The sequence below is a fragment of the Homo sapiens genome, chromosome X (assembly GCF_000001405.40).
Source record: "Homo sapiens chromosome X, GRCh38.p14 Primary Assembly".
NCBI lineage: Eukaryota > Metazoa > Chordata > Mammalia > Primates > Hominidae > Homo > Homo sapiens.
Genome location: NC_000023.11, coordinates 28,773,230 through 28,792,277, shown reverse-complemented (window position 1 = coordinate 28,792,277; position 19,048 = coordinate 28,773,230). Strand labels below are relative to the sequence as shown.

At 34.7% G+C, this 19,048-nt stretch overlaps 1 protein-coding gene across 2 annotated transcripts in view; it reads right to left on the bottom strand.

Moving 5' to 3' along the window:
* The window catches only part of IL1RAPL1 (interleukin 1 receptor accessory protein like 1), a 1,369,273-nt gene that overhangs the window by 1,164,441 nt on the left and 185,784 nt on the right, over window positions 1–19,048 (bottom strand). For both annotated transcript variants that reach the window (NM_014271.4, XM_017029240.2), the window contains exon 2: window positions 2,853–2,958. In NM_014271.4, coding sequence (NP_055086.1) covers window positions 2,853–2,934 — 82 coding nt within the window. In that variant the 5' untranslated portion in view covers window positions 2,935–2,958. The remainder of the gene's footprint in view (window positions 1–2,852; window positions 2,959–19,048) is intronic.

Sequence of the window (19,048 nt, the reverse complement as noted above, 5' to 3'; positions counted from 1 at the left end):
AATATAATATTGTATATGTTCCTAATTATTAAAATATCTAGTTCTGGTTTTCTAGTGGTCACAGTGAACTAAAAATAATATTCTAGTAAAAGACACATGAAAAGCATTGGGTTTTGAGTCATGTTTACTGACCTTTCAAAAAGATGAATAAAATAAAGAATCAAAAGAGAATTAAATGATAAGACAAAAGAAGAAAGATAAGAAGTCCTCTTGGTTAATACGTAAAATCAAACATCAAAAATTGATTTTTATCCCCTGGCCATGGTGCTGCTGGTTTTATAGGTTGGGCTGGGTATGAAGATTGAGCTATTAATCTTTCAAGGAAAAGATGCCAACTACACTCCTCTTCTACTTGATGTATGGAGATGAGTAATGACACTATTCAGTAAGCTACATATCTGCTTCCTTCAAACAAAGGTGCCACAGGAACAGACATCAGCTGAAATCAGTCCAAGCTATGAAAGTATGTGGATAGAATAATATTATTCCTTCCCAAAGTGCACACTTAATATCCAAAAATCAAACAAACAAACAAGCCTCCATCCATCTGGATCTTAATATAGACACTAGGGGAAGGAAGGTATGTTAATTCACATCATATAGAAAAGTAAACAAATCAGGCATGCTGCAAAATCCCAGTACCTGCCTTGTCATTTTTACATTATAATATAGAAAACACATTTGGTTTAGAAGGTATTATATAATTACGTGACAACTGCATTCATAAACTGAAGAGAGAAAGGTCTCAGAACTTCTGCTTAGCTTAGCACAGCATCTTATTACCATTCTTCTCAAATAATTACAAAATTAAAATAAAACTGAATTTGAGACAGATTCTTGAGTTTTCTCAGGTCTTTAGAGCAGAAAATTTTTACAACAATGACGTTTTCTAGAATAGGAATTTACATTAAAATCACTTAATATAGATTTTTGAGACATTTTAATATTTGCATTTATATTAAATTTGCATTTTCCAACTGCCCCATGTTTCTAGCTCTGCTCTCATGCTTCTCAAACACACAAAGTAAGTCCCAGTTTGATAAAATTTCTTGCCCCCAAATTAGAGGTTATATAGAATGGACCTATCACCATTACTTTATGATTAAAAAGGAGTAACATTTCTATTTGAATAAATAAATCATAGATCTGACATACACAGAAAGAACTGAAAAAAAAACAGATTTTATATAATTAGTGGTAATAACCAGAAAAATAAAGTTTTAAAGAATTAATCAATATTTCTATTTTGGATGAACTATTGTCATTTTGTTATAATACTTACACAAATGAGTGTTTCTCTTATATATAGCTACTATCTCAAAAACCTATCTTAAGTGATTTTAATGTAAATTTCTATTCCAGAAAACATCAGTGTTGTAAAAATTATCAGCTTTCATCACTATTTACCCCTCTTTCTACCTACTCTAACTCTCTTGGTTATGCTCAATTGTACTTGAGCATAGTACAATTAAAGAAATCAAGATATATGTTATTTCCCATTAACCCATTTGAATTACATAAACCACAACATCATAATCCTGCCCTAGGGTTTTATCTCATTCAGAAGATCCACTGAGAAGAAGAGATGAAATAATGTGTAGACATAACAACAGTATTTTTTTCACGTTGCCTATAACCACATCAATGGCAGATACAACAGCTGTATAATAACCAAATATGCTAGAACCAACAGTCTCAGTATTTTTTTTTAACTTTCAACCATGCACCAAACCTTTGTCCATGCACAATGCCCTCCCCAGTTTCCCTTCAGACTTTATCCCCAGGAGGGGCTCACGAGAGCAGAGCTGCTCCCTATTTCCCCTGCATGTGGGCTTTTTCGTTATATCATCAAAGTGAGTTTGAAGCCTTTTAACCTCATGGTTAAGATGTTTGCTTCACAGCCCCATCTCAGCCCTTTCATTCCCTTTCCTTTCTGAACTCCAAAGATGCTTTTGTCCATGCAATTGCTTATATCACAACACTGCAACCTCTTGTACATTATCTCATCTTCTTTTTCCCACAGGCTCTCTAGAACTAACAGACAATACATTCTAATTCTAGCAACAAAACACAATACCCTTCATCTTCCTTCATACCTAAAAGCTATAACTTCAAAAATTATGTGACTCCACATAGTGTGAGCATGGCAAGGCTTTATATTATTAGTGACTTACTAGACAAGATACAACTTCACATTGATAATGGTATTTATTCAATTGTCCCATACAATTGAACTATCAACAGTCCACTACAAACCAAGATGCCTGATAACATGTAAAGTTTTTCATAAATGCCAACATTAATCTATTTAGTAGTTCCTTTCATTACCATCCTACTTTACCTCTATATTTCCTATTAAAATATTAGTGCTTCCTCATGACATTTTCTTCAATAACACTAGTATTTTCTTTATATACTTCCAAGCAATTCATCAAATCAGCTGGAGTACAACCCTGAAAAGAATCTTCCCTAAGTATAGCTGACATCAAAATGGTAACAATAAAAGTTAACATCAAAGATACAATAATATTTCCATGCAAAAAATTAAATAACACTGTTTATATAAGAATACTTAAAATCCTACCACAAAATGAAATCTAAATACAAGGCTTTGCTATTGAATCCATGCCAATTCATAGTAATCGATAAAATAAGCCACATTCTTTTGAATCCACTCTCACTTTCCTAATTCCCTATGAGTGTGCTCCACCTATTTACTCATAATATCTACAATATCTCCACAATATTGATAACTGATCATTCTCAACTTTTCCACTAATGGCACATGTGTAGATGTAGCACTATCACTTTAAGCTATAAAAACACATAAAAAATAGAGGAATACTGCTTACCGGAGCCTCTTTTGGTCACAACCTTCAAACTCTGAGTAAAAGTAGCGTATAAGAGAATCAAGTGTGGAATCGGAGCTTTCATCTTCCAGCTCTTAAAGGCCGTTCCCTAAAGCAAAGATTAAAAAGAAGAAAAACATACATGTTTTAAAAATAGATAGCAATATTATTAGAGTTTCATAACTTTGATCAAACATGATCGGTGCAATGAATTACACAAAAGGAAAGAATATAACCAGGATTTCTATTATATTTTCCCATATGTTGTGGTTCCTAAGTTAAATCGAAACTGGTAATACCAAAATTATGCCTCCATAGCCCTCACCCCCAAAATGCTTTAAAATCTTATGTTCACTTGAGGTTTTGGATTTTTTATTTAAACGCCCTAGTTGTATTTAAATAAATGGAAACAATCCCGTCAAAAGAATTATTTCACTAACAATTTATCTTAATAAAAATCATCCAAACTGACATTTTTAACATTCCATGCTGCAATAGAATGTGGTTTTATTCAGTGTCATTCTTTCCAACAGAGATTAAATCATAAGCTGTCTGCCTCAAAATATTTAATCGTGATTTTATAATTTTCTTTCAAAAACCTCTAAAAGATATTGTAAGATAATTTTAAGACTTTTGTTTTTATTAAAAGAATGTATACTCTGGCCAGGCACAGTGGCTCATGACTGTAATCTCAGCACTTTGGGAGGCTGAAGCGGGTAGATCCCTTGAGCCCAGGAGTTTGAGACCAGCCTGGGCAACATGGCAAAACCCCCATCACTACAAAAAAAAAAAAAAATAGCTGGGCGTGGTGGAGTGCACCTGTAGGCCCAGCTACTTGGGAGGCTGATGTAGGAGGATGGCTTGAGCCTGGGAGGTCAAGGCTGCAGTGAGCTGAGATTGTGTCACTGTACTACAGCCTAAGCAACAAAGGAAGAAGAAGAAAGAAGAAAGAAGAAGAAGAAACAACACTCAACGAAACTACCCAAAAATCATTTCTTTCTATTATAAGGCTTGCAGAGGAATATAAGAAGGGACACTAACCTAGTGTGTTTGGATTTCTAAAGGAGAAATATTTCATTTGAAATTAAATAAACGAACATTGTCTTCCTCAGAAAATCATCCTTCTGTGTCTCAGCTTTATTGAGGTATAATTCACAAAGTTGGATATGTTTAAAATGTACAGTGTGTTTTGATATGCATATATATTGTGAAATGATTACCACTATAAAGTTAGCTAACACATACTTCAACTGATACAGTTGTTATATTTTTGTGTGTGGTAAGACTTAAGATCTACTCTCAAAAAATTTTAAGTATACAATGTAGTATCATTAATTATAGTCAACATGCTGTACATTAGATCCCCAGAATGTACTCATTGTATATCTGCAAGTTTGTACCCTCTGACCAACATCTCCCCATTTTTCCCCATCCTGTCCCAGCCCTTGGCCACCACCATTCTACTCTCTGCTTCTTTTCTTTTTGTATAAGACTGAGATAGTGGAGCTGAAAGACCGACTTTCAAAAAGTGGGAAATCAGAACACAGTTCAAATATATTGTAAACTTATGACAGGACACCTTTCTTTGCAAGACACTTGAGGACTGATCAATCCAGCTCTCAATCACTATAACTTTATTAAAGATGAAAATGCCAAAACTATCACATTTTGGGTTCTCCCAGAGCCTCATTCAGATACTTCTGAATGGTTTTAATTGATTAATTTACTCATATTAATAAGTCTGTTAAAACACATTTTAATTCACAAAACAAAAGCAAAATCCATTCACCTGTGGCAAGGTGTCACCATCACCATTTTATTCAGAAAATCAGTGAATTTGTAATAGCATGGAAAATAATCTATTTTAATGGCGGCACCTTTAAGGGATGACAATCTGTTTAAGTTTTCTATCCAAAGACCTTAAGTTTACATAAAGACATAAATGAAACCTAATCCAAAGAGCTGATTCATCAGACACATCTGATGAACTGCCACATTAAAGTACAAATCTGAGTCATGCATTCCTAAAACCCGAATACCATTTCCCAGCCACCACACTAACTGGAGCTGCAGGAAATCTTCAAGTTGACACCTTCAGCCTTCAGGTTAGCTGTGAGAATCAGTTCTTCTCTGTGTAAGTTTAATCAGCACTGCCCAAGAAACTCCAGGACCCAACTATACACTGCAAGACCTTTCAGCTCAACTATCTTATTACTTTACTCCTGTTCAAAATACTATTTCCTTACTCATTTCATTTCTATAAAGCATATAGGCTAGTTTGCAATTCTATTTCTTAAAATTAATATGTGTGGAAAGCATCAATTTGGTAATATCAAGATCCTTAACTGAATCTCTTGAAACTTTATGTATTAGGGAACACAAAAAGAAATCCATAGAATTTCACAGACTTAACATCTTGGTCAATCTATAATAATCTTTACAAACTTCTTTGAGGAAGTTTATTGTGTCTTAAATTGCAAAACAGATTAAATGTATCTAGCCATAGACATCCAAGTTTTGCTATCCTTGTTGCATAATCAAAATTTGCACCCAGAAATAGCAATACAAACTGTACATAATCATTTAGTGAGGTTCTCACATATTTTCTTATTGCTTATACTATTGGTGAACTAATTTCAAGAGGCCTCAATTTCTGGATAAATGGACCTGAAACCAGTTGCCTGTTTCCTGTCAATACCATTCACCATTTGGCTTCACATAAACCACTACTAAACCTTATGCAGAATGAGCATATCACAATGGTTAAGAGCAGAAAGTCTATATATCCCAGCTTTGCCACCTATAAACTGTGATTTGGAACAAATAACCTCTCTGTGACTAGTTTCTTTATTTGCAAAGTAAGTATTATAATAGTATATATAGCATAGTGCTTAGAACAGCACTGGCACATTGAAAGAACAACAAATCAAAGCTTCCGGGATTTTTGTTTGTTTGTTTGTTTTTGAGACAGAGTCTCTCTCTGTCGTTCAGGCTGGAGTGCAGTGGCGCGATCTCGGCTCACTGCAACCGCTGCCTCCTGGGTTCAAATGACTCTCCTCTTTCAGCCTCCCAAGTAGCTGGGATTACAGGCGCCCACCACCATACTCGGCTAATTTTTGTATTTTTAGTAGAGATGGGGTTTCACTATGTTGGGCAGGCTGGTCTCGAACTCCTGACCTCAACTGATCTGCCTGCCTTGGCCTCCCAAAGTGCTGAGATTACAGGCAAAGCTTCTGTTTTTATTGTTGTTATTGCAGTTAATTGTTATTACTTTTATTATTATTGTAAGTACTACCAATTAATTCATACTACTAATATTCACATCCTTTCCCTATCAAGTTTTCTGTGTATCCCAGTTTTCTACTTGACTGGAAGGCCTTGAAGGGTAAATGTGAGTTTTATGCAACTTTTAATTTCCAATGCTCAATGAATACTAGCTGGAAAAAAATAAATGAATGAAAGACTGGATATGGTTGCTATTATATGCAGTTCAATTTTGATATTTAAACCCATCATTTGATAAACCCTTATTGAGCATACACTAGTTACAAGATGTTTTGCTATGATGTAGTGGGGACACAAAGACAATGCAATGGAGTCTAATCAAAAAGGCTCACAAACCAATAAAGGAAACAAATGCTTACCTATTTAATTAGACTGGCCCTGTTAAAACTTTCATGTAGTTTATTAAAATATTAGCCAGGAGCTTAGTAGAGAGATGGAAGATAACACAACACTGTAACTGTAGCTGAAGTTAAGAACATGTATTAGGAAAAACAAGAAGGAAGTACAGATAAAGAAGAGAAGAAGGCTCACATTATCCACCCTGGGGCTTACAAATATTTATAGGACAGGCAAAATGAATCAAGAGGGAGAAAAAGTGAGAAAAGCAAGCCACAGAGGGAGTGTGAATCAGAAAATACTGGGTAAAATAAGCAAGCAAGGATATTTAAGGATACAATCAGGAGAGTTTGTGTATTGTGAGAATAAAAAAAGACATCTGGGCCAGCGTTGGTGGCTCACGCCTGTAATCCTAACATTTTGGGAGGTCAAGGCAGGAGGATCATTTGGGCCCAGGAGTTCAAGACCAGTCTGTGCACCACAGTAAGACCACCATCTCTACAAAAAAATTTAAAAATTAGCCAGGTGTGGTAGCACATGCTGTAGTCCCAGGTACTGGGGAGGCTGAGGCGGGTGGATCACTTAAGCCCCAGAGGTTGAGGCTGGAGTGAGCAGTGATTATTTCACTACACTCTAGCCTGGGCAACAGAGTGAGATCCTGTCTCGAAATAAAAAAGACAACTGGTATCAGAGTTAAGATGCTAATGACCAGTCTTTTCATTACACAAATAGGAGTATAAGTGGGCATAATCAAAAGAGTCCAAGGTGGAAACTAGGTTTCATCTGCTTGTTTTTGAATGTTTTTCAAAAACAACATTCAAAACAAGCAACAATGTGTTTTGAATGTGGATGTGGAATCCACAATTCAGGGTAGAGAAGTTGAGGATTAACTGGGGAATTCTGGATGACATATGTAAACTGAGGCAAAAGAGATTCAGAGGAAAGAAGAGAATCTAGAAGGAAGAGATATTAGTATGGGGAAGTTGAGACTCCTTTTATAGGTAGAAAATAAAGTACAAATGGGTGAATATAAAGGTAAATTTGGAAGTGAAAGGGAGGGAAGCTGCACTCATTTGTTTTATTCTTAACTATAAAGCAGGGAGAATACGCTTTAGAATCAGAAAAACCTGGATTATTGGCCTTACTGTATGTTAAGGTAAGCAAGTTACTTCATCTTTATAAGCCCCAGTTTTCTCACCTACAAAGCATGGACATAAGTATCTGCCATATTTATTTCAGTTTTTACCTACTTTTCCTCAACATGTTGAGGTAGCAAATACCTACTTCAAAGTTTCATAAGCCTTAAATAAAATACTTGTCTTTATGGTGACTATTAGTGTTTAACAATGACATTTAATTATAGACATTTTCTAATGCTAGCTCTTTTCTTATGCCTTCTTTCCACTCCTGGCTTGTATGTAGTAATTACCTATGCTAAAAAAATGATTCACTATATTTTACTTAATATTTAAAGTTTTGCCATTACTATATTCAAGATTAAAGCAACCATTTTTCACTCTAATCAAAAATTGAAGTATCCATTTGTGCCTGACACGGATAAAGTATTTTTCCAAGAGTTCAATTTACACAAAGCGATGCATGTTATGAGATAGATTTCCTGGGGAGAGGATAAACAGAAGCTCTTAGATACTCTGCAACCATAAGTTACTAAAAGGCACAATATTTACAATTAGTCACAGGGAAACTTGTGTCTAAATCATAAGCTTTGGCTACTACCTTGAGGAAATTAAACACAAATTATAAAGTTATGTATACATTTGTTTTTTTAATTATGGAGTGCCTATCATGATGCAGATGCTGTTCTAAATACTGAGGTACAAAATGATTAGGAAATGGTCACTGTGGCAAGGATTACATGGAAGAGAGACATGGAAATCAACAATTTTAGCAAAGGGATACATGTTATGAGAGACGACTTCTCAAGAATCCATGGAAAGTGCTCAGTGCAGCCTGGATAGGTCATGAAAACATTCACAGAAGAGGGTGGCATTGGGCTGACTTTGGAAGCAGAAGAGGGAGTTCATTAATGACTAAGGTAGAAAGGGTTAAATAAATGGTGGGCAAGAGATTACAGGTAGAGTAGGACAGAAAGAGTGCATGGTCCATTTGGAAAACCACTGATGAAAATAAAGCTAAATACTTGACAATCTATTCAATATGAGTTGGGGAGTAGGGAGGGGGATACATTTAGATCATCGAAAACAAGTTTTAGGTCACCAAGATAATTTTTTTCTAAATTGGCCCTGACAAAACTCTGTGGGAATTTGCTTGTTTTCTTTTTAACACAATTCTAAACAGAAGACCATTTATTCCTATAGCGCTTCTCTGACAAGGGAATGTTGACCTTCCAAATCTTACAACCAAGCTTCTAAACTGATCTCCAAAAGCTAATTCACAATATGACTAAAAAACCAAAGTTATCAATAAAAATCTGAAGTCATACGCTTCTTGGCAGATTACCCTACAAGGTGATGAAGAATACTATACGCAGCAGTCAAATAATCTTATCCAAAATGCATCTGTGCCTTATTTAAATATTGTCCCGAGAATTAAACACTGTGGAGTTCACTGTGGAGCAATCTAACACAAAATGCTGTGGAATGTCTTGCAAACCTATAGACTACTGGAGCAGTAAGCGCAGTTACTATGGGATAATTGGCACACCTACTGGGTGGCACCAGGTGAAGCTGAAAAGTTGTACAGGAATCTGGTAAGGAAAGGGTTGGTTTGACTCTCAAGATGTCCTGACTATATGCTTCAGGAGGTTAAAAACCAATAGTGCTTAAAGAACAGACTGTCAAAACCGGTTTTGTATTACAAAGAGTTGATGAAACTTCCCTCTAATCTATTAAGAAAAAAAAGAGCAATGATATAAACAAAATTAGAACTGAAGAAGTTATAAAATATACAATGACATAAAATATTTAGAACACTGAATTTTACTAAATTTGTAAATTTTACAGAATGGATGATTGGGGATAAAAATAACTAAAATTCATTAAACAGAAGAAAATTACGAGTAAACCCAAAACCGTTTAAAATCTCAAAATGCTATTAAAGTATAAACTCCAAAAATGTTAATTGAAGAAAACAATACAGATGAGTACTTCCAAACTTTCAAGAAACAGAGTTTGGTCCAAGGAATAGAAAATCATGGTTATGGCTATAAAAATATAGAAAACCTTTTTCTTTTTAAACTGACGAAGTGCTTTAAACTAATATAAAGAATGAGGGCAAGGATAGTTAATGTTACTATTTTCATTTAGCTTTGATCTGGAATTCCTAGGCAGTGACTGTAAATATTAGAAAGAGAGAAATGTAAAATTTTTATTAGTAGTAGGGTATGGTGACAAGAAGTTAGAAAACTTTATTCCATTATAAATTCATGCAAATAATATGCTCCAGGATTAAAATATTGACTACTTTATCAATTTTGGCATAAAATGTCAAATTTTTCCAAAATGGGAATATGCACTTCTAGTCAAAATTCAAATGGAATATTTATTGTGTTTTTTAGAACATAAAAATATAAATTGTATAGGGAAAGTTAAAAGTCAAATATAAATTAGCAAACATATTTCCAACATACACATCAATAGGCTAGTGCCCATATAATATAAAGAATGCTTACAAATCTATTGGGAAAATTAGCAAAGGGAATGAATATAGAAAATGAACAAATCAAGTGAATAGGTAATACCTAGAAGACATACAGTCACTAAATATTACAATCATAAAACTGATAGTAAATAAAAGCATATACTAAAATAATTTGTCAAATAAAAATAAAATTTTCTCACACAAAAATGCCATGATTGTAATTTTGTATATTCATACATATATAATTATAGAGAAAGGAAAATAGTAATCAAAGTTATTTAAATGACTATTATGTCAATATGGATATAGTAAAACAAGTATGCTGATAATCTGATGATGGGAGTGAATATTAGTACAGTTTTACTGGAAAGCAATTTCTCAATATATAGCCTTTAAAATACTTAACCACTGGGAATCAATCATCCTGCTTCTAAAAATCCATCTGTAAGTGGTAAAAATTCTGAGATGGGCCCCAAGACTTCCACTCCCTTGTGTCCACACCCTGTAGAATTGTCTTCTTTTAAGTTTGGGTGGGGCCTATAAATATGGTAGATATCATGCCCATGATTAGGTTATATTATATAACAAAGATAGAAGGATTTTGTAGGTGTGATTAAGGCCACTAATCAGGTGCCTTTAAGTTAATCAAAAGGGAAATTATCCTGGTTGGGCCCAGCCTAATCAGGTGGTCTTTTAAAAAAGGTTCTAGAGGTTAGAGATAGAAAAGGTTAGAGGAAAGAAGTAGCAGAGATTATTTCCTTTTGGCTTTCAACAAGAAAGTGCCATGTCATGGAGACAGCCATGTGACAGGGAATGGCCATCAACCTCTAGGAGCTGAGGGACTCAGTTCTAAAACCACAAAAAAAAATAAAAATAAAAATAAAAATAAATAAAAAAAAAACCCTCAAGTTTGCAAAAAACCATAAGAGCTTGGAAGAGGACTTCAAGTCTCAGATAAGACCTAAGACCCAGATGACATCTTGATTTCACACTTGTGAGACCCTGAACTGAGTCAGCTAACCTGTGCCCAGATTCCTGACCCACAGAAACTACATGATAATATATTTGTATAGTTTCAAGCTGCTAAGTTTTTGGTAATTTGTTATGTAAAAATAGGTAAATAATATACCACCTTAAATATTCATTAATCCAGACAGATTTATGTAAAGAGATAATTATTATATTTTCTATTGACTAATATAGAGGACTAGTAACAATTGTAGAGAATATCTGTAAGATGGAATATTATTTAGCTTTCACAAATACTTCTGAAATTAATAATTTGCAAAAATAGTCAAAATAACATGGAAAGGAGATGAAAGCATAATATAATGCTGTATAGAGAAAATTATCCATAGTATGAATAATATTATTACTATTAATAATAGAAAAATGACTTAAAAACTACAGCACAGCAGATCACATGAGCTGGCTATCATAAGTAATTATACTGATTTTGGCTCTCCTCCACATTGCTATGTTTCCCTAATTTGAAAAAAAAGAACATGCACTATTTTTTACAAAAATATGTATGTATTTATGCCTCTTTAAAATTTCATTAGAAAAGGTTTTAAAGGATCAAATTATATTACTTTTTTTCCAGAATCTGAATGATTTATTATAATTCTAATTCTACAAGTAAAAGCCATACGTTTCTAAATCCAAGAGTCATCCTGATAAATCACATTGTGCAAAATATTTTCTCAATGCAACAACTTCCACTGTTTTCAACCATATGATCCACTTTAATGGATCACTAATAAAAAACACCAGGTTAGCAATCTGAATCTAATTAAAATAGATTCTGGACAGACAGACAGACACACACACACACACACACACACACACACACATACACACACACACTGTGATTGAAAGAATGAAATGTATACTGTGGAAGAGATATGCCTGTAAATGTATCCACCTAATACTACTTTAAGGAAACATTTGAGAATCTGAAACAAGCAAGAGAGATTATTAGCTATCCTTTCCATGGAAAGGTGGAGCCTCTGGGAATTATCTGATCTTATATGTGTAACTTTGCTTTTGAATAAGCTATTTTATATCTCTGTAAAGATACAGTGAACATCTAGAAAGCTAATAGCAATGCAAACAATTCTTATCCATGGAAATGCTTATTAATTGTGTCTGGTAGAATGCAATTGATTATTGTTCTATGGATAGACATGCTGTGTTCAATTGAGTTCAATATTCCTTTATTGCATATAAATTTGTGGTTCTTTGACAACTCCATCAAGTCAGGTGTAACATCTTGTCTAGTTCCCTCATTAATTAGTGATGTAAATAAAACTTTGACAAAAGTTCATTTTATATCTTTATGAAAGTCAAGTTTTAATTTCTTTTTTAATTTACTTAATACTACATTCATTTATTAAAATCAAGTTAGTCAATAAATGCTTTAAGATAAAGTATTTTTTACAGTTTAAGCAAGGTAAGTATTTAAGATGAGCAATACGCTAATTAGCTTGATTCAATCTTTCCACATTCTATATATATATATATATATATATATATATATATATATATATATACACACACACACACACATAATAGTATCACTCTGTACCTGATAAATATATACAAGTATAATTGTCAATGTTCAATAAAATGTTAAAAAGGAAATTAAACAAAAGAAATCATGATAAACTAATTCGGGTTAGATTTCGTATTCTAGTCAGAGCTTAGTATCATGGGGTTTTAATCAGAAACCATGTGAACAACAATATAAAGACACTGTCAAGGCTGCTAAACAAGAGATCAGTGGAACTGCAAAGGTGCATAGAAAAAGTCCATTTCCATAACATTATCATCAACAGGAGCAACTAAATGTATTTTGAGACACTAGGTCTTTCTCTCAGATTTGGCAAAGCAGAGAAACTACCCATCTTAGGGGAATAGTGGCTAGGAAAAGGCTTCAATCAAGGTCATTAAAAACAATGGAATCATCCCTTGCAAAATCTAGAGTTGCCTAATGTAACCAATATAGTTTAGAAAATCCCTGGCACTAGCCGATGCTTGCCTGTGAAGACAGACCTGAAGAAATATACAATGAAAGTGGTTAAGTGCACACACTCAGGAGTAAAAGTCCTTGTATATGAAACCCAGCTCGACTTCTTACTAGCTATGCAAACTTGGAAAAATTACTAATACTTGACATTCCAATATCTAATATCTCATTTTCTTCATCTGTAAAATGGCCAGATGAATAGTCTGTATCTCAAAGGATTACTGCAAACATTGAATACAATAATGTATGATTACCCTTAAACATTGGTGTCTAGTTAGATCCATGTTACCTTTTATTTTTATAAGCCACAGAATATTAACAGGGCTATGCTGATAACTGTAGTCTTAATTGAATTAATTTGTATAATAATTCCAAACTTAAATTACTGGGAATTACTGGGGAAATTGATATGTTTCATACACTGCCAGAAAATTCTGTGAAATTCAATAGAGCTCACACTTATTTGGTGACAAGAAAAAATACTGTAAATGGATGAACCTGACTAGCTAAAATGGAAAGTGCACTGTGCTGAAGAATAGAGAGCATAAATAAAAACACTACACAGTTTCTATCTGCCACTTTTCTAATTCACCTTTCTTACGCCTTTCGTATTCATCATGCCCTCCACTGTAATTCAGCTCCAAAAGCCCATACCAAAGAAACTTTTTGGGTTCTAAAGTCAGCAGATTGGATGAGGCAAGTGACAGAGCCAGGGAGGAAAAGCAAATATATTCCATCATCGCTCTTGCAGGCTGCAAACATGATCCTAGCTGAGTGAATTTGCCCTCCTTTGTGAGTTCTCCCTGCCAATATATTTAACGAATAGTTGGATAAACCTGACTCTTACCACATATCTGTGTGTTTACAATTCAGTACACTGAGGAATTTATTATTTATTGCAATTCTCAAGAAAAAGGTGGCTTTATGCCAATTAGAGCTCTAATATATGATGTTTGTTACACGTGGCAAATTTTTTAGTTTTATTTTTCCAGTTAAACTCTATATATCCATAACCATAACAACTTATGAGTAGGGTAAGATAATGGGAGAAAAGCTAAGGCAGTGATTTTCAGCCTTGGCTGAATTTTGGGATCACTTGGGGAGATTTCAAAGAGACTGATGACCCACGTGATGCCAAAACTGCTGGTCCATGCACCACACTTTTGAAAAGCAAAGGCCCAAGCAATAATACTGTTTCTTAAAATTGCCTATGGCAGGGTTTCTCAAACATGGTACTATTAATCTGGTGAGATAGATTATTCATTGTTGGGGAGGTGGGCTGTCCTGTACATTGTAGGATGTTTAGCAGCATCCATGGCCTGTATTCACTAGATACCAGTAGCACCTTCACCTAGTTGTCACAAGCAAAAATATCTCCTAATGTTCCAAATAATCTGGGGCATGGCTGGTACCCTCAGATCACAAGTTTAATCACTATTCACAATAATTAGCTTTATCAAACAATAAAAATTCCATTCTGAGGCCATGGAGCACAGAAAAACTAGTTACCTTTTATAAAAGAGCTCCATAGTCACCCCAGCGTTACTCAGCGAGAACATGACCACTGAAGCTTCAAGGAAAAGAAATATAAGTATTTGTCCTATGTGCCAATGTGTCAATAGAATCCTCTTATAGAGGAAAAAGCAATAATAGAATGTATTTGTTTCAAAATAACTGTTAAAATTAAAAGATAGTGACTGCATTTGTGCTAGACAGAATAATGGCTTGCAAAGATATCCACACCCTAATCTCCAGAACTTATGAACATGTTACCTTACATGTCAAAAGGAACTCTGTAGATGTGATTCAGTGAAGAATTTTGAGATAAGGAGATTATTCCAGATTACAAGGTGGGCTCATTGTAATCACAAGGGTCCTTATAAGAGAGTAGCAGGAGTGTCAAAGTTAGAGAGAAGGCCATATGATGATGGAAGTGGATATTAGAGTGATGCAGCCATGAGCCAAGGAATTCCATCAAAGACTAGGAACTAGAAGATGCAAGCAACAGATTCTCCCCTGAAGCCCTAGAAGACCTAGCCCTGCCAATGCCTTGATTTTAGCTCCATAAATTTCATTTTATACTTTCGACCTACAGAATTGTAAAAGAATAAATCTATGTTGTTTTGAGCCACGAAGTTTGTGATACTTTGTTACAGCAGCAATAGGAAGCTAGTAAAATATTTGAAAAGCCAGAAAGCTAACAGGAATATTTTTGTTTATCATTAGCATTTACAGATAATTGTGATATTATCTACAAGTTCATATCTAATTTTTCACATTCAGTTTTCAATGCCTGTAAGTAATAAGCATTATTAATAATAACTGCCAACATTTGTTGAGCACTTTCTATGTGCCAGGCATGTATCTGAGCACTTTATATGTACTATCTTATTAATCCTTAGAAATTATTAATCAGGTAGATGCTATTGTTGTCTATTTAGAGTATCTTTCCCAAGGTCATGCAGCTAGAAAATTAGGTTCTATGTTTTCTACTGACAATAATTTAAATAGTCAATAATAAATAAAACAGTTCTGAAACCTCTGATGCAAATATATACACAAAGGACATAAATGATCTATATCCAATGTTCAACCTGCAGACTATGCTACTATTTCTCTGGAAACTGTGGGCTTGCAAAGTCTCTGCATGGACTGAAATTCTAAGTGATATTTATGTGACTTTCAACTAGGTATTGGCTATAGTCACTCAGCTCAAAGATTTTCACTATCTGAGGTTCCTGCTTTATTGCAGGAGCTGCACTGTCTCCTCAAAGAGAATATAAATTGCTTTATGTCTGTTTGATCTTGTTGCTTCTTAACTTCCCAGTACTTAGCATATGGTTTTCCCTGCTTGGAGTTCTAAGAATTGACTTCTAAGATTGACTGTTCTTCCCACCACATCTAGAAATACTACACATTAGTTCTTACCACCTCCACAAGTTCAGAAGATCAGAGGTAAATTAGCATTCTACTTTCCAGAATCTACTTAGCTATTATGCATATCATCTTGCTCTTTTAGGTTATAATGGGGACATAAACTCATTGACCAATATATTCCATGCACTGTCCTAGATATTAGGGTATTAGAGACATAAGAAGAAACAGGACAGACCCATATCCTATCTTCATCAAGCTTACATTCTTGCCAGGGAAAACATGAGTGAACAAATAAAAAATATATGTCAGTTAATACACATTATGAGGGTAGAGAGTGATGGAGTACAGAAGTTACTATTTTAATTTCTCCAAGAAGTTGTCTGTAACTTAGGACTTAAATCATGAGGAGAAGGCAGTCACAGGTGGATACAGGAGAAAAATTCCAGAAAGATATAAAACATATGGAAAGGCCATAAGAACAGGACAAGCTTGGCATAGTTGTACAACATAAATAAGGCCAATGTGGTTGGAGTAGATTGAATAAGGGTGAGAGTGGAACTAAGTGAGACACAAAGAATAGGCTGAGGCCAATTCATGTAAAGGCTTATTAACAGAGTAAGTATTTTGTATTTTATTGTATTTGTAGTAAAAAGCCATTTGTAGTTTAAGGTAGGGGACTGTTGCAGGTTGAATTGTCCTCTAAAAAGATATGTTGAAATTCTAACTCTGAGTACCTATATATGTGATCTTGGAAAGAGTGGCTCTGCAGATAAAATCAAGTTAAGATGGGGTCATAACAGATTAGGGTGTACCCTAAATCCAATTACTGTATCCTTAGAAGAAGAGACACAAACTAACACTCATCAGGAGGAAGGCCAAATGACAATGGAGGCAGAGATTGAAGTGATGTAGCTACAAGTCAAGGAAAGCCAAAGATTGCTGGTAACCACTAGAAACCAGGAAGAGGCAAGAAAGAATCAACCTCTAGAGACTTCTGCGAGAGCATGGCCTTGCTAATACCTTGATATTTGACTTCTAGCCTCTAAAACTGTGAAAGAATAAATTTCTGCTTTTTCAAGCTACCCTGTTTGTGGTAATTTGTTATGGCAGCCCTAGGAGACAAATACAAGTACTAATAAGATAATATACATTTTTAACAAGTTCACTTGTACTATAATGGAACAAAAGAAAGGAAGAAAAGATATTAATAAGGTAGAAGGCTAATGCAGTAGTTCAGACAAGAATTTATATCATCTTAGACTACAATTTTAACAAAGGTAATGATGGAAGGTCATCAGACTTGGTGAATAATTTGTAGATAACAATAATATGAGTTACTAATACATCGGGTATGGTTAGTGAGTAAAAGAGAAATCAAAGATCACTTCCAGGTTTGGTCAGAGAGTAAAGGGGTATTGTGCTACCATTTACTGAGATGAGGAAGGCTAGGGGCATAGAAAGTTTGGGAAGTCAGGAAGTCGTTTTGTTTTGGATAAAGTTTGAGATGCTTTTATCATACCATATATGACCCTTGCCTCTTGTTATTCATTACCTTGTGTAATCCCCCACCTTTGAGTGAGAAATGGACCTAGTGACTTGGTAATAAGGCCAGAGTGATGGTATGTCATTTCTGAGATTAAGTTATAAAACACTGGCCCACCTTTTGCTGACATTTTCTCGTTTACTCACTTTGATGAAGCCAGCTGCCATTTTGAGAGCTGCCCTATGGAAAAGACCATGTGGTAAGAAAATGCAGGTGGCTCAACTTTCAAGGAACTGAATTTTGTAAACCATTATTGAGTGAACCTGAAAGTGGGTCCTGCCCCAATCAGACCCTGAGATGACTGCTGCCCCATCCAATACATTGACTGCAGCCTTGTTAGAGATCCTGAGCCAGAGGACCCGGATAATCCATGCCCAGATTCCTGACCCACAGAAAGTATGATATAATAGATGTTATTAAGACACTAAGGTTTGGATAACTTTTTATGCAGCAATAGATAACTAATACAGATGGAAACAATATAAGATAAATATAATCTGCAGGTACATATTTAGGAGTCATCAACAGGCAGATTTTATTTAAAGCCAAAAAACTCAATGCAGTCATCTAAAGAGGGAAAAATATAAGGGAGGGCTCAGGATTGAGGTCTTGAACTACAACATAATGAGAACAAATCGAAAAAAAGAATCAGTAAAGTAAATCAGAAAGTAATGAGGTAGGCGTAAAACCAGAAAAAGTTTTGAAATGAAAGTTGTGGTCAACTGGGTCAAATTATATAAAGGATCAGCTAAGGTGAGAACTGAGAATTGACCACTGGATTTGGTAAACAACGTTCATTAGTAACTTTAACGTGGACATTTTGCGAGGAACAGAAACCTCATTGTTTTGACTAAGGAGATAATGGAATGTGAGAGAGCAAAGATATCAAATACAGATAACTTTTAGACAGATATTTCTGTGAAGTCAATAGGGCCATAGCATGAGGGGACATTTTACTTAACATGTGAAAAAAGCTATATTTGTATACTCATGGGGATGACTTTATATTGAGAGATAAATTGGTGATATAGGGGAGGAGACAGTTGAAGGAGCAGTCTTCGAGAGATCATTGGAAAACATAACCTTCAGAGTTGGCTTCAGATAGTAGCAGAGTTCATCTACTCTAAATAGAGGTAAAGGTAAAGGTAGAGTGGTAAATTTAGTGATAGAAATATGAGCTTGTTCTATTTCAATGCATCATTTGTAAAATAATAAATGGGAGGAAAGGTAAGTTGACTGTTTCACAGCTGAGTGTGCAGGGTGTGCAAAGAGTAAGAAGTTTAAAGATAGAGGAGAATTAACAAAATAATATCTCAAAGAGTGGTAAAGTGAATGTCAAAGAGAAGTAAAAGGATTGTGTGATTCAAGGCATGGTGGCTGACTCTTGTAATCCAAGTGTTTTGGTAGGCCAAAGTGGGAGAATCACTTAAGGCCAGGATTTCAAGACGAGCCTCGGCAAGAAAGTGAGACCCTGCCTCTTCAAAAAACAAACAAGAAATTAGCTGGGCA